The sequence below is a fragment of the Homo sapiens genome, chromosome 6 (genome assembly GCF_000001405.40).
Source record: "Homo sapiens chromosome 6, GRCh38.p14 Primary Assembly".
Taxonomy (NCBI): domain Eukaryota; kingdom Metazoa; phylum Chordata; class Mammalia; order Primates; family Hominidae; genus Homo; species Homo sapiens.
This window is the reverse complement of record NC_000006.12, coordinates 33,130,631-33,154,790: the sequence shown is the minus strand read 5'-3', so window position 1 is coordinate 33,154,790 and position 24,160 is coordinate 33,130,631. Positions and strand designations below refer to the sequence as shown.

At 42.1% G+C, this 24,160-nt stretch overlaps 2 long non-coding RNA genes and 1 pseudogene across 2 annotated transcripts; 2 read left to right on the top strand and 1 right to left on the bottom strand.

The window, feature by feature from the left end:
- Nucleotides 1-5,975: 5,975 nt before the first annotated feature.
- HCG24 (HLA complex group 24) lies at nt 5,976-11,467 on the bottom strand. Its single transcript, NR_138084.1, has 3 exons — nt 11,197-11,467; nt 9,845-9,937; nt 5,976-7,576 (listed from the first exon to the last, which is right to left on the bottom strand). It is a non-coding gene; the product is annotated as an HLA complex group 24 (long non-coding RNA).
- On the top strand, nt 11,357-24,044 carry LOC105375021 (uncharacterized). The gene is made up of 5 exons (NR_190905.1): nt 11,357-11,567; nt 15,042-15,164; nt 20,554-20,711; nt 23,449-23,594; nt 23,692-24,044. It is a non-coding gene; the product is annotated as an uncharacterized LOC105375021 (long non-coding RNA).
- On the top strand, nt 23,448-23,594 carry HLA-DPA3 (major histocompatibility complex, class II, DP alpha 3 (pseudogene); annotated as a pseudogene).
- Nucleotides 24,045-24,160: the final 116 nt, after the last annotated feature.

The window sequence follows — 24,160 nt, the reverse complement described above, 5'->3', positions numbered from 1 at the left end:
CAGCAGAAATGCTTGCAAGTGCAGGCCCAGACAACCCAAAAAACAGGGGCTAAAATAAACAGGAATTCATTTTTCTCATAAGAAATCTGAGGATGACAGCTTCCAGCATTGGTTTGAGCATTTAATGATGCCATCAGGGTTCCAGACTCTTCATATGTTTACACTCCACCCTCCTACAATGTTACCCTTACATATTTTCTTTGGCTAAACTATAAGCACGTTTTTCATAATAGCTGTTCCATTTACATCACTGTCAAACATGACATTCACCAATAAAGAAAAGACGCATGAGACGTGTTCGGCACCCCTTAGCTGTAGAAATGCCTGCCACCACTTTGCTGTCATGAAAGAGCCATTTTATGGCTATTGCAAATGCTTTGAAGATACTAAGACTTGTACCTGGAAGCTATAGATGCAGTGTGGGAAACTGGGAAGTATAATTGCCACTGAATTGTTATTGATTTATTACTGCAAATAAATCTATGCAGGTCCCTTCTGAAATTGAGATGGTCCTGAACTGAACAAATGTCTTATTGACATTCATAACAGTGGCTGGTATTCCTTCTTTATCCTGTTTGTCAGTTTTTGGAATTCACTGATTAGATAAATAAAAAGAATCTCACTTGCTCCTTACTAATGAGCTCCACGGAGGGGCATGATGTTGGAAAAGGCACCATGCAAGGCATGATTACTAAGAAGACAAAGGGCTTGTCGGGGAGCTGTTAGGGAGGGTCCTGAGCCAGGGCTTGGGAAAAACATCTCATCATTTTACTGTATCTGATGCTTGGAAGTGACATGTGCTTTGCAAACTCCAGTTTATGTTTTGATGACTTTGTGCTTGTTCTGCTTGGTTAGGATTAGCTTCAGCTGTGAGAAACAGAAAACCCTGGAAACAACAGTGTCTCCACCAAGATAGAAGTTCATTTCTCTCTCACATGCAACCCTAGGGCTGGTGTAGTGTTTAAGTGTCAGAGACTCAGGTTCCTTCTATCTATCTTTTTCTTCCACCAGCCTCAACATAGCTCTTCTCTCTCAGGTCCAATATGACTGCTTGAATTCCAGCTTTCATGTTTGTGTTCCAGTCAGCTGAAGGAGAAAGGGGAAATAAGGACAACCCCTCTTTTTTTTCGTTTTTTCTTTTTTTTTTTTTTTTGAGAGGGAGTCTTGCTCTGTCACCCAGGCTGGAGTGCAGTAGTGGATCTCAGCTCACTGCAACCTCCGCTCCCCAGGTTCTAGCGATTCTCCTGCCTCAGCCTCCTGAGTAGCTGGGATTACAGGCATGTGCCACCATGCCTGGCTAATTTTTGTATTTTTAGTAGAGATGGAGTTTCACCACGTTGGTCAGGCTGGTCTCAAACTCCTGACCTCAAGTGATCCACCCGCCTTGGCCAATACCTTTAGGCAAAGCATTATAGCAGGAGTCTAAAAACAAATGGGCTGTTTTGTTTTGCTCGGAAATCTCTCCCCGAGGGATTGTTTTGTTTTTTGAAGTATTTGAAGGCTAAGTATCTAGAGCTTGTGCTCATGGAGTAGCTGCCCCCTTTCCTCGTGAGGCCACCATTAGTTACCTCTGCATATATGTCTGCCTCTGAGGTGTCTGGCTGTCTGAGGAGGCCTCTGGCTTTGTTAGTACACCACTAGGATATTTGCAACGTGGATCAAGACTTTTTAATTTAATTTAATTTTATTTTATTTTTTTGAGATGGAGTCTTTCTCTGTCGCCCAGGTTGGAGTGCAGTGGCACAATCTCAGCTCACTGCAACCTCTGCCTCCCAGGTTCAAGCCATTCTTCTGCCTCAGCCTCCCAAGTAGCTAGGATTACAGGTGCCTGCCACCATGCCTGTTGCGGGAAGTCAGGGACCCCAAATGGAGGGACCAGCTGGAGCCGAGGCAGAGGAACATAAATTATGAAGATTTCATTTTAATATGGACATTTATCACTTCCCTAATAATGCTCTTATAATTTCTTACGCCTGTCTTTACTTCAATCTCTGAACATAAATTGTGAAGATTTCATGGACATTTATCAGTTCCCAAGTAATACTCTTATAATTTCTTATGCCTGTCTTACTTTAATCTCTTAATCCTGTTATCTTCACAAGCTGAGGATGTACGTCACCTCAGGGCCACTATTGTACAAATTGACTGTAAAACATGTGTGTTTGAACAATATGAAATCAGTGCACCTTGAAAATGAACAGAATAACAGCGATTTTAGGGAACAAGGAAAGACAACCATAAGGTCTGACTGCCTGTGGGGTTGGGCTAAAAGAGCCATATTTTTCTTCTTGCAGAGAGCCTATAAACAGACGTGCAAGTAGGAGAGATATCGCTAAATTCTTTTCCTAGCAAGGAATATTGATAATTAATACTCTGGGAGAATAATTGCATTCCTGGGGGGGAGGTCTATAAACAGCCGCTCTGGGAGTGTCTGTCTTATGCGGTTGAGATAAGGACTGAAATACGCCCTGGTCTCCTGCAGTACCCTCAGGCTCACTAGGGTGGGGAAAAACCCCACCCTGGTGAATTTGAGGTCAGACCGGTTCTCTGCTCTCGAACCCTGTTTTCTATTGTTTAAGATGTTTATCAAGACAATATGTGCACAGCTGAACATAGACCCTCATCAGTAATTCTAATTTTGCCCTTTGCCTTGTGATCTTTGCTTTGCCTTTTGCCTTGTGATCTTTATTGCCCTTTGAAGCATGTGATCTTTGTGACCTACTCCCTGTTTGTACACCCCCTCCCCTTTTGAAGTCCTTAATAAAAAGCTGCTGGTTTTGTGGCTCAGGTGGACATCATGGACCTACTGATATGTGATGTCACTCCTGGCGGCCCAGCTGTAAAATTCCTCTCTTTGTACTCTTTCTCTTTATTTCTCAGACTGGCCGACACTTAGGGAAAATAGAAAGAACCTGCATTGAAATATTAGGGGTGGGTTCCCCAGATACATGCCCAGCTAATTTTTTTGTGTTTTTAGTAGAGACAGGGTTTTGCCACGTTGGCCAGGCTGGTCTCGAATTCCTGACCTCAGGTGATCCACCCGCCTCAGCATCCCAAAATGCTGGGATTACAGGCATTAGCCACTGCACCTGGCCATCTCAAGATGGTTTTAATGGTTAGAAATATCAGCCAATTGAATTTTCAGAGACATATGCCACCTAATTTTGTATTCAATACTTAAGTCATTAAACTCCAGTGGTCTATATACCTGTTTGGCCTCTAAGACAGTTTGGCCTCTAAGTCTGTGAGCACTTTCTGTGATGATGGAAATGTTCTACATTTATGCAATTTAATGTGGTGGCCACTATTCACATGTGGCTATTGAGCACTTGAAACATGGCTAGTGCACTAAGAAACTCAATTTGAAATTCAATTTTAATTTTATTTAATTTAAATGGCCACAGGTAGCTAGCTAGTGCTACCATATTAGACAGCACAGCTCTGAGGCTCTTTTAAGGACCCACATAATTCAATGAAGAGACCCAAGTTTAATACAGATGTGGGATATGCAGTCTTCATAATTCAAACACGCCAATTAATTTCTGTTCCTCTTTTTCAAGTTGGGGGCTTTCAAGCACAAAGGCTTTTACCTGGTCTTGGGCAGAATTTTTCTCCCCAAAATTTTACCAAAATTTGTGCTCTTTTATAGTCTGTTTCTTTTAACTCATAAAATTAATAATGGAAGACAGAGGTTTTTGATGCAGTTGCTTTAAAAAAAACCAGGTTCAGGCCAGGCACAGTGGCTCACACTTGTAATCCCAGCACTTTGGGAGGCTGAGGTGGGCGGATCTTCTGAGGTCAGGAGTTTGAGACCAGCCTGGCCAGCATGGTGAAACCCCGTCTCTACTAAAAATACAAAAATTAGCTGGATATGGTGGTGCGCATCTATAATCCCAGCTACTTGGGGCTAAGGCAGGAGAATTGCTTGAACCTGGGAGGGGGAGGTTGCAGTGAGCTAAGATTGCGCCACTGCACTCCAGCCTGGGTAACAGAGTGAGACTCCATCTCAAAAATAAATAAATAAATAAATAAATAAACAAATAAATAAATAAATAAAATCAGGTTTACTGAGATATAATTTAAATACAGTGAAACCATAGCTGTACAGTTGTTTATGAGTTTGACAAACATATTCATTGTGTAACTACTACTACAATGAAGATAATATTTCTATTACCCCAAAAAGTTTCCTCATGGACACAGCTTTTTTCAAGTCACTCCTGGTTAATGTGTCATTAGGATAATAAAACAATGTTAATTCTTGAATTGGATTTAGGCTGTTTAAATTTTGCTCAATGGATTGTACCTCGGAGGTGGGAGAATTTACTCTGGCAACTTAGTAAAGGTTGGGGCTGCCAAGTGAAGGCAGACTGTTGGTGAATATAATTTATTGGGATTGAAAAGGATACATCAGCCAGATTGATGCATGAATGCTAATCAAGGGTTGATTTAGCAAGATCTTCTACTAAGGAAATAATATCATGTACAGTGCTAATCACATTTTTTTCATAATTGAGTTAAATATTTAAAGTGATTAGAATAGTCACTGCCACTTAATACTACTTCAGAATTAGCTGCTTTTCTTAATATCGGTGTAATTCACAATTCACTTCCAAGCTCCACCTCCCTTTTGACTGGCCAAAATGAGTTGTTAAAGAGTCCTACTCTTTATCTCAGATTTCTCCAACAATGTTATCATAATTGTTATTTTACATATTCTCCTAGGGATTTGTCACTATTTCATATTACGTTGTTTTGTGGGGAAGTGGAATTCTAGAGGTTCTTAAGAGCTTTTCCAGCTCCCACAGTTGCAATCGTAAGTTCAGATAACATGCCCAGGGGCAGGAGAAATCACCATAGAAGCTTTCTTGGTTCTCTGTATCTCCCATTAATGTTTCATAACCTTCCACCTTCATACTTTCCCCTCCACATACCCTGGTATTCAAAATAGCCCTTCTTATTAGATTGGGTTTTCCTAATTAAAAGTTGCCATTGATGTTATATCCCAAAGTTTCTGGAATTCCTAAACATTGTCCTTTGTCTAAACTGTTTTAACGTGAGTGCAGAGTGTCTCCAGACACAGGTTGGAACAGATCTGGAGGGAAGAACATTGGGGCTGTTTGTCCCATCGTATGAGAGGATCTGGTTTTAGGGCAAAGCTCTTTAAGCTTGGAGAATGAATCGAAGGTGTGGAAGTGCCCTGTTTCTGTATGTTCTAAGAGAAATGAGCTCTTAACGTTTATAAGCTTTTTGTCTTGGCATTCCCCTTCGGTTTGGTCCCTAGCACTGTTAAATTACATGAATTGAGGGTTTGCCAAAACTACTGCTAAATTTGCAGCTTCTGTATCTGCTAAAATTGGACTATTTTTGATACTTCCTTTAACCTGTTTTGTAACCTTGTTAATTTTCTAATGAGCCCATTGTGCTGTTGGGATTCCGATATCCCCAAATCTAATGAGCCATGACCATACACGTTAGCTCCATTCCCACTGGGTTCTCAAATTCTTTTTCATTTTTCCAATTCTTTAGCACTTTCTCTTATAGGCGGTTCTGCCTTAATTTGAAATTAAATGAGAACTTCAGCCCCTTCGTCTCACCAGCTGCTAGCATTTTAAGTGCTCAAGAGCCACCTGTGGCTAGTGGCGGCTCGGTTGGATAGATACAGAACATTTCCCTAACAGCAGAACATTGTATAGGACAGCACTGCTCAAGGGATTGCTCTCCGATGATCACACCCACTTTACAGATACTAGGACTGTCTAACTATGTACACTTTCTTTCTTGCAAATACGATGTCGAAGGCTTTCCCTCAGTTTGTAACTTTTAACAAATATTTTAGAATCTTTATTGATCAATCTCTCATACATCTGTGCAACAAAAATATATGTATTCATTTAATTCTTTAATTGACAAAAATTGAATCTGTTTATGGTATACAATATGATGTTTATATATATATATATATATATATATATACACACACACACACATTGTTTAATGGCTAAATCAAGCTAATTAATATGTGCATTACCTTACATATTTTTTGTGTTGGGTGAGAACACTTAAAATTATTCACTTAGCAATATTCAAGTACACAGTACATTGTTATTAACTAGAGTCACCATGTTGTACAGTACATATCTTGAATTTATTCCTCCTGTCTAACTGAAATTTTGTATTCGCTGATGTTAGTTTTTACAATCAACTCATTAAAAACATAATTAGGTCACAGAGGTTAGGAGGTTTTGAAAAAAACAAAAAACCAAACAAAAAATGTAATTAGGTTTGTTTGGCAATCTAGCAATGCTTAGTGTGCAATGCTTTTTACAGCCGCTGCTAAAAGCATAGCAAAACCACAGAAATCTATGTGCTGCCAAAACCTATGTATTTGGTCGTATTTATTTTGACTTGTGTTTTTTGTGTGCTTAACTTTTTCTCTAACTTTTTTTTGTAAAGAATGCTGGAGTATTCCCAAATTGTTGACAAATTCCCTTGTTTCCTGTTCTAAGCCCAGATTTCAGTGTTGGCCACTAGGTGGGGATAGGATCCTATTTCTCTATAGCCTTAACATGATTTTGAATTTCGATGCTTTGCAATGGATAATCTGGCTTTTTCCTCGAAAGCTTTAAAACATTTCTTTTGTGAATTCAAAACAACCCACAGTTTTAATTCTCTGTAGTTATCCAATAAAAAGGAATAGGAAACAAGTGCTAAATTATTTACTTACAGTGTTTCTGTATGGAAATCCTTACCCCCAAGACAGCTGGCTTCACGGCTTGACTCAATGGTGAGAAATCTGAGTTGACTCACAGCTTTCTGACAGTATTCTGATGGTACCATGTTAGGATAAATTCTTGGCCAAACAGAAAATCAAGGGAGACCTGCTTCTCCTTGTCAAACTCTAAATTAATCTACTAGTTCTTTTCATAAAGCAAAAGGTGAAATGTTGAGGACTCTGAGTTGGCGATCAATCGAAATGACTTTTAAACTAAGTCCCTTTTAATGATGACTGAAGACAATATTACATTAATCACTGGGTATTATAAACACTGGTTTCTCAGTCCTCTGCTGATGAGATTTGCTTGTTTGTGTATTTCTTTCTTAAAATCCCAAATAGTGAAGTCTCTCTTAAGCAATGGAGGCTTATTCATAGTCAAATTCCTTGCATGTAAAATTCTCTGGGTATAAAGTAGATTGCCTCCCTCTTGTTTTTCTTTTTCTTGAGACAGGGTCTCACTCTGTTGTCTAGGCTGGAGTGCAGTGGCATTATCACGGCTCACTGAAGCCTTTACCTCCCAGGCTCAAGTGTTCCTCCTGCCTCAGCTTCCTCAGTACCTGGGACTACATTTATTTTTTGTTTTTTTTTATTTTTTTGTAGAGACAGGATTTTGCCATGTTGCCCATGCTGGTCAAGCTATCTGCCCTCCTTGGCCTCCCAAAGTGCTGGGATTATAGGCATGAGCCACCAGGCCCAGCCTGCTTTCTTCTGTTTTACCAAGATGCTTGACAGTGGATATATAAAATGACAACTTCCCTTTCTCATATGTGGCACTGAGAGATGGGCAGCCTCTATTTCCTACAAGAAATATAGAATAGAAAATGTGTAATTTCTCATGGTGTTCTGCAAAAATTAAAAATTTCACAGAACACTCATCTGAATCCCTGGTTTGTAACTTTGGCTTTCCAAAACTTGCCTATATGCTAATATGATTCATAAAACATTTGTAATAATAATTTCAAAATAAAAATTTTAAAATGAATTTAGTCCTATATCTTCTATAATAACCAATATTTCCAGAAAAGTAGGATTTAAGAGTATCTTCTGTACCAATATATGACTTTCTTTTTCTTTTTTTTGGAGACAGAGTCTCACTCTGTTGCCCAGGCTGAAGTGCAGTGGTGTGATTTCAGCTCACTGCATCATTCAGTCGGCCGAAGGCCTGGCTAGAACAAAAAGGCAGAAAAAAGGTGAATTCACTCTCTCTCTGTTTTGGAGTAGGGAGTCCTATATTCTCCTCCCCTTGGACATCAGATCTCCAGGTTCTCTGGCCTTCACACTCAGGGACTTGCACCAGCAGCCCCCCAGGTTTTTGGTCTTGGACTCAGAGTTACTCCACCAGCTCCCCCGGTTCTCAGCCCTTCAGACTTGGACTGAGCCATGCTACAGGCTCCCCTGTCTCAGCAGCTTGCAGAAGGCCTAACGTGGAACTCCTCAGCCTCCATAGTTGAGGGAGTGAATCCCCAGCATAAATCCCCACTCATCTATCTACCTATATATATCCAATAAATTCTGTTTCTCTGAAGAAGTCTGACTTCTTCAGCCCCCAAAGGCCCCCAAAGGCCCCCAAAGCCCCCAAAGGCCCTAGTGCTGGTCTGTTACGAACTTCCTGGTAGACAATATTTTACACATGGCATCCCAGCTCCTTGTGGGAGGAATTAAGTGTGTCCTGTGTGGCTCCAGGGGGACAGGATCCTTGGAAGCCTGAGCCTGGTTTCTCTTAGGCTTTGCCCAGTGTGCCTTTCCCTCTGCTGAGTTTGCTTTGCATCCTTTTACTGTAATGAATCAGAGCCCTGAGTAGGACCATATGATGAGCCCTGTGAGTCCTCCTAGGGCATCATCTCACCTGGGGTGGCTCTGAGGACCCCTAACATAGCTCTTCCTCTGGCATTGGTATCTGGTAATATATAAAATCCCCCAAAACTAACTTGTCATCATAATTTATGACCATATTTCATCAAAATTTCATGTAGTCACATCCAAGAAGTTCAGTTAAGAAAGAAAAACTCTTTAAGCTTGGTTAAGGCTCTGCCATTTTTGAAAATTCGTATTAATCTAATAATATTGTAGCAACTATAAGTTTTCCTGATAACTTTTTTTTTTTTTTTGGGAGTGGGGGATGGAGTTTTGCTCTTGTTGCCCAGGCTGGAGTGCAATGGTGTGGTCTCAGCTCACTGCAACCTCCGCCTCCTGGGTTCAAGCGATTCTCCTGCCTCAGCCTCCCAAGTAGTTGGGATTACAGGCGCCCACCACCACACCCAGCTAATTTTTGTATTTTTAGTAGAGACAGGATTTCACCATATTGGTCAGGCTGGTCTTGAACTCCCGACCTCAGGTGATCTGCCTGCCTTGGCCTCCCAAAGTGCTGGGATTACAGGCGTGAGCCACTGTGCCCAGCCTCCTGATTACTATTATATAAAATTTGGACTTAGTGGCACATCATAACATGAAATGACTGGAGACAATATGACTTCTCTCTCGGTATTAAACATCAATTAAGATGAATTACAAAAATCATAGTAAACTGTATTCTAAAACCAAGCCTATGTCTGAAAAATCTGGTATACACACATCTTTTGAAACTAAGGATGTGTTTTCACTGTACAACCTGCAAGAGGTGATCTGGTGAACATAGAGTTATGGAATAAGTGTGTATCTATAACTTAGTACAAATTATATATAAAGAGAACGATAATGTATTATGCGGCTGGGCATGGTGGCTCACTTCTGCAATCCCAGCATTTTGGGAGGCTGAGGTGGGTGGATTACTTGAGCTCAGGAGTCCAAGACCAGCCTGGCCAACATGGTAAAACCTCATCTCTACCAAAAACAAAAAATTAGCTCTCAGGTACTCTAGAGACTGAGATGGGAGGATCGCCTGAACCCTGGAGGCAGAGGTTGTAGTAAGCTGAGATCATGCCATTGCATTTCAGCCTGGGTGATAGAGTGAGACTCCATCTCTAAATAAATAAAATAAAATAATATATTATGCTATTATACCTATTATTTAAAATTGGGATCTTATGTTGATTTCTACATTTGGGAAGCATATTCCTAAGAACTGACCTTTATCAGTCCTGTATTGTGTTCAGTGGCAAAGCCAGGCTTGGTGTCTGTTCCATCTGGGAACGCCAGGAGTAATGGTCCCACTCCTTGCTGCTGAGGGTACAGCATGAATTTGGGCAGCACCATGAAATAAAGCAAATGTAAGAAGATCCTCTATCAGTTGCACTCCTATTTAATAAGAAGACTTGATCATCATCAAGAAGTTAATTTCTCCATGCCTGGGTAAAACCACACTGACTCATCCTGAGGCTCTTCATTGGACCCAGTGATCACCAAATCCTTCAAGCATAAAATGGCCATGTGATTATCTCCTTCCTCTCAGGATGAAAGGCAGACAATAACATGTGATTTATGTTCCTCAGGAAAGGACATGCTATAAACTAGAGAACTTGGGAAAGAGGAAGTACATGAATTAACATGCAGGCACATGGTGGCATGTGCCTGTGGTGCCAGCTACTGGGCAGGCTGAGTGGCAGCATTGTTTGAGCCCAGGAGGTGCAGGCTATGGTGAACTGAGATCGTACTACTGCACTCCAGCCTGGTTAACAGAATGAGACCCTGTCTGTCTTTCTCTCTCTCTCTCTCTCTCTCACACACACACACACACACACACACACACACACACACAGAAAATAAAGGAGAAAAAGAAATTGTTCTTAAACATAAAATTTAAAGTGGGGTTCTTTGTATCACCACATTCTTTTTTTTTTTTTTTTTTTGAGACGGAGTTTTGCTCTTGTTGCCCAGGCTGGACTGCAATGGTGTGATCTCGGCTCACTGCAACCTCCACCTCCTGGGTTCAAGTAATTCTCCTGCCTCAGCCCCTCGAGTATCTGGGATTACAGGCACGTGCCACCATGCCCAGCTAATTTTTGTATTTTTAGTAGAGATGGGGTTTCACCATGTTGGCCAGGCTGGTCTCTAACTACTGACCTCAGATGATCCACCCGCCTCAGCCTCCCAAAGTGCTGGGATTACAGGCATGAGCCACCATGCCCAGCTGACTCTTTTAAATTTCATTCAGCTGTGCGCCCAGCCTCACCACATTTTTATATGAAGAAGAAATAAAATAATAATTACTAATTAAATAATTAAATATTATTTCCTTCTCCTTATATGTTTGAAAACATCAAAGATTTTCTCCAAAATTATCATAGCTATAAAAGAGTCAATATAATATCAAATGGTAACAAATTAATTCCTTTATGATGCAAAGAATCAATGTAAAATTGTGAAGAAATATCATCCATTCACAGAAGTAACTACAAATAAAAAATCCCAACTTGCGTAATGTATTTCCTCATTAAGAAGAAGGCGATTATGATGTCCTAATTTTCGTTTTCTTCACTTACCCCTACACTCTGCAGTAGTCAGGGGCTTCCTGGGCCATGCTGGTGCCTGACAATTCTCCCACTTCCTCCCAGCAGCTCTAGCATCTTCCTTCCCCAGCCACAGAGGCGTCCCTTCTGATGTATTCTGGTTGGTTGAGCCCCATCAGGCTGTTTCATCTCCAGCCTTTCTCCCTGGACAGGGGTAGGGAAAGGAGTGCTGGATTCGGAGCTCCTCCGTCCCTGCGCCGCCTCATTTTCTCCTTGGGGTCTGGCGCACAGTGGCCATTGCAATACACCCTAAAGACTGAAGGAGCCAGCGCAGAGCCAGGATCCTCCTGTGAGCCATGGCCCTGGCTGCCCTGCTTAGCCTCTCGGAACCTGGGCCATCAGGGGTGAGTGCGCAGGTGGGCGAGGGAGGGTGGGGGCTCTGGGCGCTTCTGGAGCCCACAGATGCTGTTTTCTTTCCTGTTCTGTTTTCTCTGTTCTTTACTGTTTTGCCTGAGGCTCTCTTTTGCTTTCTCTCATTCTAACAATAATAACCACCATTTACTGAACACCCCCTAAGTGCCAAACCTCATGTCCTTCCTCACAACACCATTTTCAGAAAGGCTTTTATTAACACAATTTTAGAAATGAAAAGACTGAGACTCAAAGAGATTCATAAATGTCTCCTTTCCCCCACGTCCTCTCGCTGAAGAGAGAAGAGCCAGGGCTTGGCAACCTCCTCTGGAGATTCTCTCGTAGATTGTAGAGGTCAGCTTCCTCAAATAGGAGTCTGCAATGTGGGTTTTTTTCCTTCCTTCCTTCCTTCCTTTTCTCCCTCCCCCTCCTCCTCTTCTTCTTCTTTTTCTTCTTCTTCTTTTCTCTCTCTCTCTCCTCTCTCTCTCTCGACAGGGTCCTGCTCTGTTGCCCAGGCTGGAGTGCAATCACGTGATCACAGTTCACTGCAACCTTGAACTCCCAGGCTCAAGGGATCCTCACACCTCAGCCTCCTGGGTAACTGGGACTACAGGTGTCTGTCACTACACCTGGATAATTATATATATATATATATATATATATATATATTTTTCCCCTTAGAGATGGAGTCTCACTGTATTTCCTAGGCTGGTCTCAAACTCCTGGCCTCAAGTGATCCTCCTGTTCAGCCTCTCACAGCACTAAGATTACAGGTGTGGGGCACCACACCCAGCCCGTTAGTGACTCTCTCTCATTTCATTCAGTCTTCAACCCACTGCATTCTCCCTTTTTCTTCCCCATGTCTCTGATGCTGCTCTCAGGGTGACCTTTATACAACCCAAACCAGTGATCACTTCTCTGTCTCTATCTCTTGTGTGTCATGAGTGTGTTTGTGATGCGTCCGCTCCTCTTTCCTGGATGTTTTCTCCTGTCTGTTGTCTTTTATGAACCCACTTCCTCTTTGTTTTCCTCCTACTTTCTAGTCTTCTCCTTTTCAGCCTCTTTTTTCATGTCTGTGTTTGTCTGGATGCAGGAGCACACACTCAGACCCTTGCTATTCTGACTTTATGTACTTTTCTTGAGTGACCTGATCCAAATTTAGAACTTCACTTATAATGAGCTTCCTTCCAGTCTGTGTCACTAACCTAGTGTACCCTGGGACCCAACCATTTAGCTCACTATCCTCAGATTAACTCCATTTGTTCCCACAGAAATTCAAACTAAGCATGTTCCAAACAGAACATCTTACCTTCTCTCGATTATTTCATTTTTCATTACCTTTGCAGTCACTGATGCCCCAGTTCTCCACGTTGGGTATTCTGGACTCCTTCATATCCCTACTTCTGGCACATGATTTAGTGATTCCTGTGGCTTTTCGTTTCATTATTGCCATTCAAACCCATCCGCTGTCCGCCTCACCCCATGTTCCTGCCCCTGCCTACACCCTCATGACTTCCCATCTGATGGCTGAAGAGTCCTATTGGTCTTGCTTTCAAACCAGCCTCCTCCAACCCATCCTCCCTACTGCTGCCCCCTCCAAACACAAATCTCATCATGTTACTGTCCTGCTTAAGATGCTTCACAACTTCCTATGTCCTGTGGGATAAAATGCAAACACCTGCCATCAGCACACAAGGCAGGTTACAGTGCCGCCCGGCGCACATCTCCCCTGGCTTCAGTCACACTGAAGAACTGCAGTTCTCCTTGCAACTTCATGCCTCTCTGCTCCTGAGCCTGCTTCTCCTGCTGGACATGTCATTTCCCCTTTCTCTGTTTTGCTAACCTCAGGTAAACACTATCCCTAGGAACCTTTCCTAAATCTCATTTTTCAAAAATGCCCTCTTTATGCTCCTGAGTGGCTCCAGTGTATATCTTATGGTACTCAGTGGTGATCAAAATAACCTATGGAAATAAAAGATTAAAAAACACAAAATAAAATACACATGTAGCAATCTTCTTTTCTTTGTCTCTTTGGATTTTGGATTTCAAGCAGCTTGAGGACAAGGCCCAGGTCTTCTGAGTTACATCCTTAGTGCCTAAAGAGTGAAAATTCACAATGAGTGTTTATTTAACAGAATGAAAATTAACATTTGAAGGTGGAATTTGCTTTAAAATGCACGGACCTTTAGTTTTAGGCTTTGTGAATATAATAAAAACAAAGTAACCTAAGGTGAACAAACGACATCTCTGTAGCACAGCTTGTATATCATGTTTTTCATCTGTTTTTTCTTTGGGCTTCGTTTCTGTAGGTGAGTAATTCTCTAGCCCATAAACTCAGTGGAGGACCCTCAACATCCGTGTGTGACACTGAACTTGCCGTCACTTGACGCATCCAAGGAGAGGACTGGTTTTCCCCGTGTTGGGCTTGGAGGGGAAATCCTTGCTTAGGACCAACAACCATGCAGTGTCATTTCGCCTCACTTCCTCTTCCAGGCTGGACTCCATGCTCTCTCATCTTTATTCTTTTACTGTAATAGTAATAGACTTTTTTGTTGTCAACCTTTTGCTGCGTCTTATACATCAGGTAAAGCTAAGATACTATCCCATAGGTGTTTCAAATGCAACAACTTTTATTTCCAGGTAGAACTACACTTGAAAATATACATTCAACAAGAACATTTTGTGAATGTTATGTGCATGACAACATTTTTAAATTTACTATGACTTAAAATGAAAGTGTTTTGATAAAATTATATAAGGTACCATTTTTATTCTAAAAGTAAGAACATAACTTGAAGTCTATAAATAGCACTAAGACTTACTCTGGAGGTCTTTTCATGTCCTTCATTATTTTTTTCCCTGAAAGATTTTTATTTCATCTCCCTACTTCCCTGCCTTTCTCTGTGGCTATATCAGTATTTTTTATGTCTGGTCCTGTAGGGGTTCTGAGATCCTATGGGAATGGGGTAGGGGGACTACGCAATTTTGTTTCTACCAGGAGTTGTGTGACTTGGGTGAGTTACTTTACTTCTGTGGTCAGTTCCCCAATATGTAAAATAATTTCCTCTGTTAAATCAAGTTTAGCCTAAAGTTGCCTCCTTACATATTTTAAGTTTGGCCTAAAGGTTTCTCTGTACATCATGAACTATAACAAGTGGAGGTGTAAACAGACCATAGCCTACACTTGTGCCAATCACTGAGTTTTGGCCAATCATATGTAGCTAACTGTTTGAACTGTGTTCAAGTTAGGCAAACATTGAGCTGTAACCAATCTGGCTGTTTCTGTACCTCACTTCTGTTTTCTGTATGTTACTTTTCTTTTTCTGTCCATAAACTTTCTTCCACCACGCAGCTGTGCTGGAGACTTTGAGCATACTCTGGCTTGGGAGGCTGCCCGATTTGTGAATTGTTTATTGCGCAATTAACCTCATTTAAAATTTATTCGGCTGAAGTTTTTCTTTTATCAGGTGGTGTCAGAAGTGGGGTTGGAAGTAGAGCTTCTAATGACCCCCAGAAGTGCTGAGTGACCTAGCGAGGTACCCTCCAGGCCCATTGTGTCTCTTTCTCTCTCGGAGCAGCTGGGGATCGTGGTAAGTTCTCTTGCAGATTCCGAAGCTCCACAGATTTGTGTGTTGAGCTCTCTGAGTTTCTTTGAGTAAATTTCTGATCCTGATTGGGTTTGAAAGTCGCGAAAGAAATTGAACTGAGTCCAGGATCGGATTGGCTCCAGTAATTAACTGGCTTGGATCCGGTTAGAGACCTCTTACATCTAACTGGATCAGAAAGAAACCAGTATTAAATGGCAATATTGCAAAGGTGTAAAATTTGGCTTTTGGAAATTCACAGAGATTTTTATGTTCTACTCCTTTATTTTTCTTGTGCACTTAGGTAGGAAAAAAAATCATTGGCTAAGTTGAACAAGGGACCTGAGAGCAAAGCCAGTATTTGAGGTAAAAAATGTGATACTGAATTTCTGAAGAACTGAGTTCCTTCTGGATTATACATGCATAAGTATTAGGCCCTGGAAGGAGCAACGCCTTACAGAAATTGTCCAGGCGTGGTGGCTCACACCTGTAATCCCAGCACTTTGGGAGGCCAAGGTGGGTAGATTGCTTGAGGCTAGGAGTTTGAGACCAGGCTGGCCAACACTGTGAAACCCTGTCTGTACTAAAAATTAAAAAAAAAAATTAGCCAGGCATGGTGGCATGTGCCTGTAATTCCAGCTACTCGGGAGGCTGAGGCACAAGAATCACTTGAACCCAGGAGGTGGAGGCTGCCATGAGCTGAGATCATAATACTGCACTCCAGCCTGGGTGACAGAGACTGTGTCTCAAATAAAATTTTTTTTTTTTTTTTTACTAAAGATAACTTGCAGTAGAACATTCCAAAAGAACAACACTGCACTGAAGTGCATTTGAAAATGAGGGCTCCCAAATTAGTCTCATGTACAGTCTCATGTAGGGATGCCTATTGATATGCAGAAGCTTCTAAAAAATTTCAATATTTGCATTTAAAGACTTTACAAAAAAGAATTAAAAAGCTTAAACAACTAATTGATTTAAAAAATTAAATCTGCCTTGCGCTTTTTGCTGATGGCTGTGTGTGACAGGATTAGGCATGTACAGGATCATGGGACATGGGGAACTTTTTTCTCCCCAAAGCAGGAAACTTGAGAGCTGATGAGATGGCTGGAAAAGATCCTTCATGACTGACAAGCAGCTGCCTGAACTTTTTTTTTTTTTGAAACGGAGTCTCACTCTGTCTCCCAGGCTGGAGTGCGGTGGCACAATCTCAGCTCACTGCAACCTCCGCCTCCTGGGTTCAAGTGATTCTTCTGCTTCAGCCTCCCGAGTAGCTGGGATTACGGGCGCCCACCACCATGCCTGGCTAATTTTTTGTGTTTAGTAGAGACAGGGTTTCACCATGTTGGTCAGGCTGGTCTCGAACTCCTGACTTCAGGTGATCCGCCCACCTTGGCCTCCCAAAGTGCTGTGATTAAAGGCATGAGCCACCGCACCTGGCCCTGAACTTTTAATTTAGTGTCACTGCAATAGGTGGGTCCTTCTCTGTCCTCCCTGAACTCTTTGCCTTCCCCACCCTGCTGCAGACAATGCTTTTCTTTCTCTCTTTCTCTTCTTTCCTTTTTCTATCTTTCTTTTTTTTTTTTTTTTGAAACGGAGTCTTGCTATGTCACCCAGCCTGGAGTGCAGTGGTGCGATCTCGGCTCACTGCAAGCTCTGCCTCCGAGGGTCATGCCATTCTCCTGCCTCAGCCTCCGGAGTAGCTGGGACCACAGGCGCCCGCCACCACGCCTGGCTAATTTTTTTTTTTTTTGTATTTTTAGTAGAGACGGAGTTTCACCGTCTTAGCCAGAATGGTCTCGATCTCCTGACCTCGTGATCTGCCCACCTCGGCCTCCCAAAGTGCTGGGATTACAGGCGTGAGCCACCACGCCCGGCCTCCTTTTTCCAGCTTTCTATTATATCTTGTCTAGAGATCACATGTTGAAACTTCTGGCTGGAGGCCATTCCACCCCACTTTGAATAGATTAAAGATAGCAGAGCCCCACCAGGGGCAAGTTTAAGCCTTACCAGTTCAATATTGGGCACTAAGCAGAGTGGCTAATGTCTATGTTTTGTCACATGTATTTTGCTGTGGCTGGAAGGGAAAATGTTAATTCAGTTCCCTCATGCAATCTCTTGGGCAGCATCTTACAAAATTGAGAGGCTTTTGCCTATGGTTCCCTGAAATCAGAAAAGATGATTTTCCTTTGTGTTGTGGCTTGGCCCCCAGGCTATGTGCAGCTAACAGGGTCGCTAGGGCCACTCAGAAAGAGGGAACCCAGAAGCCTGGCATGCTGGCAAAAGGGTAAGAATTTCTTAGCAGTCAGGCTTCTGGCCTCTCTCTGTGTGGAAACGGTTGTAGGAGTAGTAAAAATCACTGTCTCCTCTGCAAAGTTTTAATTAATGATAAAAAGGATTTGTGAGGCTGGGTGCGGTGGCTCACGCCTGTAATCCCAGCACTTTGGGTGGCCGAGGCGGGTGGATCACGAGGTCAGGAGATCAAGACCAACCTGGCTAACACAGTGAAACCCAGTCTCTACTAAAAATACAAAAAATTAGCCGGGCGAGGTGGCGGGCGCCTGTAGTCCCAGCTACTCGGGAGGCTGAGGCAGGAGAATGGCGTGAACCCGGGAGGTGGAACTTGCAGTGAGCCGAGATCGCGCCACTGTACTCCAGCCTGGGCGACAGCGAGACTCCGTCTCAAAAAAAAAAAAAAAAAAAAAAAGGTATTTGTGAGCCAATCTTAAGCTGTAGCAAACCTGGTGTACTTTGTGCTATGAATTGGTCTTTCTGTGTCATTTGGTCATAAAAGGGGTTAAATAGGATAAAATGTGGGCCTAGGACTCCCAGAAGTCTGCTGTTCAAGCCAGCCTGGCAAACTGGTCAGTTACAAACTGCGGGTCCCTGAAACAAAAAAACACTGGATAAGGTTTCCCTGTCATCTTGTTTTATGTCATTGGGAGCTTGACCTTATAATCACATGATGGTACTTTCTTTTGGTCTCCACCCTCTGGAGGACAGGAATTTTGGAGTTCATGTCATAGTTAGCTCTAAAAATTATCTTGAGCAGTTAAAAGCCTTTGCAAGCTGAAAATTGGCTGCTCTTAGGCTCCTCCTTCTGGGAGGAACAATGGAAACCACCAACGGTGTAGCTTAGTGGCTAAGCTTTGCCATCTTATGATGGCAGCCAGGCAGGGTTCAATTCCAGCTCAGGGAATGAGACCTGTTTGGTTTGATATCTTTCTGATCTTTGCTATTTGCTGATTCTCTTCCCCTCATGAACAACTTCTGACTCTCGTCTTGAATTTTCCTTTCTCTGAGCTACGTTTGGAAATTCTAGAGTTTGTAAAAATTGCTTGCTACCTTTTTGAAAATACTTCGTACACTTGTGGTTAAGTCATAACCTTGTTAAAGCTTATTGGTTTCACCTGGGAGATTACCTTTGGTAAAGTTCAAAAGCCAGACATATTGGCTGTTTGGCCTGGCTAAAGTCAAGTAATAAGAGATTTAAAATGATTATTTTAGGCTGGGCGCAGTGGTCCATGCCTGCAATCCCAGCGCTTTGGGAGGCCAAGGAGGATGGATCACCTGAAGTCAGGAGTTTGAGACCAGCCTGACCAACATGGAGAAACCCTGTCTCTACTAAAAATACAAAAATTAGCTGGATGTGGTGGCTCGCACTGGTAGTCCCACCTATTCAGGAGGCTGAGGCAGGATAATCGCTTTAACCTGGGAGGCGGAGGTTGCAGTGAGCTGAGATTGAACCACTGAACTCCAGCCTGGGCAAGAGAGCAAGACTCCGTCTCTAAAAACAATCAAATAATTTTTTTTTTTTTTTAGAAAGAGCGCTATAGTTAAAAGTCAGCTTAATTAAAAGTGGATATCCAAGCTATAGGTATGTTTAAAGGGCCTTTTGGTTTTTTCTCTTCTTGGATCTTTGTTTTTTTTTAATTATTTTTTTCTTTTTAGCCAACTGAATTGTTTTTCTCCATTTTGTCTTCTTGCCACTTTTGTTGCACACATGAGAGGACCTAAGGTAACTTCTAACAGCCTGGGACTCCTTGGGAAAAACAGAGGAGGCACTACGATCCTGCTTTGGGATATAACTCGGTTTTCCTCCTGAAACACCAGGAATCAAAAGCAGATAGATCCCTCTCAAAATCTAAGGCTAAATATCCTTTTGGGGATGGCCAACAGGGTGAAACCCAGTCTCTACTAAAAATACAAAAATTAGCCTGGTGCAGTGCTGCACACCTGCAGTTCCAGCTACTGGAGAGTCTGAGGCATGAGAATTGCTTGAGCCTGGAAGGCGGAGTTGCAGTGAGCCGAGATTGCACCACTGCACTCCAACATGGGTGACAGAGTGATACTCTGTCTCAAAATAAAGGAAAGAAAGAAAGAGAGAGAGAGAGTGGAAGGAAGGAAGGAAGGAAGGAGGGAAGGAAGGAAGGTCATTTCCACAGTTAATTGCTTAATGCTGGTGCAATTTCTGAAAACTTCACAAGTAGGCACAATTCTAGAATATGGTGTCTTTTAGGAGGTTCCTGAAAGGATGGAAAGGACCCCAAAAAGTATTCTTGATTACAGGTTTCTGATAACTTTAGAATCATATCATTTTTACTGGGTAAGAATTCCTGGAGCTTTTTTTTTTTTTTTGAGACGGAGTCTCACTCTGTCACCCAGGCTGGAGTGCAGTGGCACGATCTTGGCTCACTGCAAGCTCCGCCTCCCAGGTTCACGCCATTCTCCTGCTTCCTGGAGCTTAAAAGACTGACTGGTTTATAAAACTGCCATCCCAAGTAGAACACAAATTAATTGAATACCAAGAAAATACTTTGCAAGTCTTTCATGCTAAATCACCCAATACTGAAATTGTTTAGATACACAATTTGAAGAAACTCTGTGGTCTAACTCAAATTACCTATGATAACCCATCAGTTATCAGTGCTATGCACCTCAATTGGAGAAACAACCGTGTCAAGCATGGACTCATGGAGAACCAAGGTGGCTGCCTTATCCTTCCTGAGCTTTTAAAGCTTTTATAATTTAAAGTTCTGCATTCCATGACTCATCATGGAAAAGATAAAATGATCCAAGTTAAATGCATATTGGTGTGGTGACTTCTAAATTGCTAAAATAGTTTATGACCAATGTTTGGTTTGCCAAACCCATATTCCTGGGAAGACAATCAAAGCTTCAGGTACATTCTGCTACCTCATGAGCCATTTAAACATTTATGAAGAGATTTCAGTCAATTGTCATTTTCAATGCATGTTTTCTGGTTGTGTAAAAGCTTTCCTATACAAGTGAACTGATGTTATAACAGTAGATTATTATTTCACAGTGTATTTTCACCAGGTAAAGAAAGCTTTTTATGGTTCACTGACTGAGGACAATCAACCCCTTCACAATCTAGAACCTGAAGATTGGATCTTCTGAGAACATCAGAGAAAGACTGCCCTTGCCATCCACACTGCAGTAAACATCAGAACCGTGAACTTTGGCTTCATGATCTCACAACTGAGAAGGATCCCTCCACATTCTTGGAAATATACACCCATTGGAACCCGTAAGGTAAAGCTAACCAGGGAAGTTTCTTCCCAGAAGAAGATGGTATCCTTGATGTGAACAGCTTTCACCAAGATCACAGATCAAGACTTCTCTGCTATATGGAGGCTCTTATCTCTGAGTATTTTTTCCCTTGCTGATGCCTCTATGAACAGTAGAAGTGAAAAGGGGGTCTGTTGTGTGCACTTATGGGGTAGGTATACTTTTATTGGTGAAGGGTTTTGCAGCCAGCCTTATACATGGATAACCTCACACCTTGATAGATGAAAGATGAAGGCCCAGTGTAGGTGAGAAATTTTAATGGTACATAGGTTGCCTCATAATCAGTCAGAAACAGAACATTGATTCACTCCCCTATTCCACATCATGGGTTAAAGAGAACATTGCCAGGAGGCCTTCAGTCTTCTAGAAGGGCATTTTTCCTTAGGTCCTTTTTACCATGATTTGGAGTAAAACAGGCAATGATTAGAAATGTATCCCTCATGATAGGCTCTAAACAGAGTCTACTGTAAGGGCGATGGTTACACAACAGATTTTACATTCTTTTGTGAAAGTTATGCTTAATAGTAGGATTGCTGTAGATTACTTACTGGCTAAACAGAGAAGTATCTGTGCAGCTGCTGGCACTTGTGGCCTATGGAGAAATACATCACGTCAGGTGTACAGAGATTCAGTTGTAGGTAATTAATGAAGAGACTGCTTAAATGAGTAAACTCTTTATTTAGCTCATTCTTTGATCTATTTAATTTTGGGTGGTTTGGTTTATGGGGACCCTGTGTAAGGAGCATACTCCAAACTCTTGGTATTATCCTCCTGATAGTCATAATAGTAGTCTACCTGGTGCACTGTATTCTCTCGAAAGTTTTAAATGTTTGCATGCAGCCATCTCTAGAATGTCAAATTGTCTCTCTTCAACTAGAATGACAAGATTGAAAGAAATGTGTGACCATGATGGCATTTTAACCTATGAATGATGTGTTGAGACTGGAAACCCAAAATGATGGTAACTGAGAGTGGCGCTAAGGCCCTAAGCTTTGGTCACATTCTCACCTAAGTGAGAACCTGACCAAAAAGGGGACATTTTTAAACAAAATCATGGGAGGCCATTGTTTTGGACTTTAATGAAAGGCTAAATGCACTAAGCCCCAACAGACCAGACCAAACCAAAATGGAGTCACTTGTGCTAAATGTGACATGATTAAACTAAGACTTTAAGGAAACACATAGATCCTAAAACAGACCAGGTTTTGTTTTTTTCTCCTATAAACAGAACGTTCCAACAAAAGGAGGTAACCCTTACAAAAATAAAATTAAAATAAAATAAAATAACCTGAAATCCTTGTTCCCCCTTACAAAACTCATTGTTCTGCTATTTCCCAGGGGGTTTCAAGACCAAATAAGTACATTTACAATGGTGATAGTGGCATCGATGACTAAAGTTTTGGTAAATCTCTAAAAATTGAGAAGATTACCAAAAGAGGAAAATTGTTAAATCAAGTTTAGCCTAAAGCTGCCTCCTTACATATTTTAAGTTTGGCCTAAAGGTTTCTCTGTACATCGTGAACTATAACAAGTGGAGGTGTAAACAGCCTACACTTGTGTCAATCACCAAGTTTCGGCCAATCATATGTAGCCAACTGTTCAAACTGTGTTCAAATAAGGATACACCCAGCTGTAACCAATTGGGTGTTTCTGTACCTCACTTCTGTTTTCTGTATGTCACTTTCCTTTTTCTGTCCATAAATCTTCCACCACATGCCTGCAATGGAGTCTCTGAGCCTACTCTGCCTCGGGAGGCTGCCTGATTCACGAATCGTTCATTGCTCAATTTGACTCTTTTATATTGAATTCAGCTGAAGTTTTTCTTTTTTTCTTTTTTCTGTTTTTTTTTTTCGAGACAGAGTCTCACTCCGTCACCCAGTCTGGAGTGCAGTGGCGCAATCTCAGCCCACTGTAACCTCCTCCTCCCGGTTCAAGTGAGTCTCCTGACTCAGCCTCCCAAGTAGCTGGGACTACAGACAGCATGCCTGGCTAATTTTTGTATCTTTAGTAGAGACAAAGAGGTTTAGTAGAGACAAAGGGGTTTCACCATGTTGGCCAGGCTGATCTTGAATTCCTGACCTCAAGTGAACCACCTGCCTCGGCCTCCCAAAGTGCTGGGATTACAGGCATGAGCCACCGTGCCTGGCCAGAAGTTTTTCTTTGAACACTTTTTTTTTTTGGGGAAGGAGTCTCGCTCTATCTCCCAGACTGGAGTGCAGTGGCGCGATCTCAGCTCACTGCAAGTTCCACCTCCCGGGTTCACGCCATTCTCCTGCCTCAGCCTCCTGAGTAGCTGGGACTACAGGCACCTGCCACCATGCCCGGCTGATTACAGGCGTGAGCCACCGCGCCTGGCCTTCTTTGAACACTTCTACGTGGAAGTGTGAGGATTCAATGAATAAGTTGAGCACATGGTACATGTTCAGTGAATATTTTCTGATTGTGTTCAGTGTTATCATTATTGGAATGATGTGAGGGTTGTGTAAGTCTTCAGAGACCAGGGAAACAACTGAAATCTTCTATGAGTCATTTCTATCATTGTTTATCCCCATTCCTTTTCTTTTCATTCATTTTTGCATTTCTCATTTTCTGTGTTATTCCCTTGCATTCTTAAAAACTTTCCCATTACCTGCTTGCTTCTTGTATTCTGTGTACTTTCCTATGTGTTCCTCATTCTGCAGTCTTCTTCCCCTTCAAGCAGCAGACCATGTGTCAACGTATGCAGAGTTTGTGCAGACACACAGACCCTCTGGGGAGTATATGTTTGAATCTGATGAAGATGAGCAGTTATTTGTGCACCTGGACAAGAAGGAGATGGTCTGGCATCTGTGAGAGTTTATTCACACTGTGAGGGGCAGAAAATGAAGGGACCAGGGATGGAAAGGGATGGGGGACAAAACACTAAGCTGGCAGTCCTAACCCCAGTGTGTTTATTCTACTCCAGGTGTCAAACTTTCTCAGTCAGAAGTTGACATAAGGAAGTCACCAGCTTCGGTCTCCTTTAAATCTCCAGGCCTAACTTTCTTTTGAATCTCTGCTCTTCAACCACAATGACTTATGTACCCCAAGACCCCTCTACCTCCTGGCTGCCTATGATCCTCCTGCACCTAGCACTCAGCAAAGGGTCTGACATTTAGATAGCACTCAATCAATATGAAGAATTTAAAGTGTAGTGACAAGGTGGTGCCCACACTGGATGGTCTGTATGCTGTGGTCTCATCAGGGACCTTTCTCTGCACTGCATTTTTCCTGAGAAATCCCAGAGTTCAATAAATACCTGTGTATGTCAGAGCTAGACACATCTGATGCCTTTCTGTGACTCCTTATATTCTCAGTTTCCTAGGAATGCATATCCTGGACTTGTAATTGTAGGATACAGGTGCATTATGGGTGCAGATACCTCAGTTTTGCAT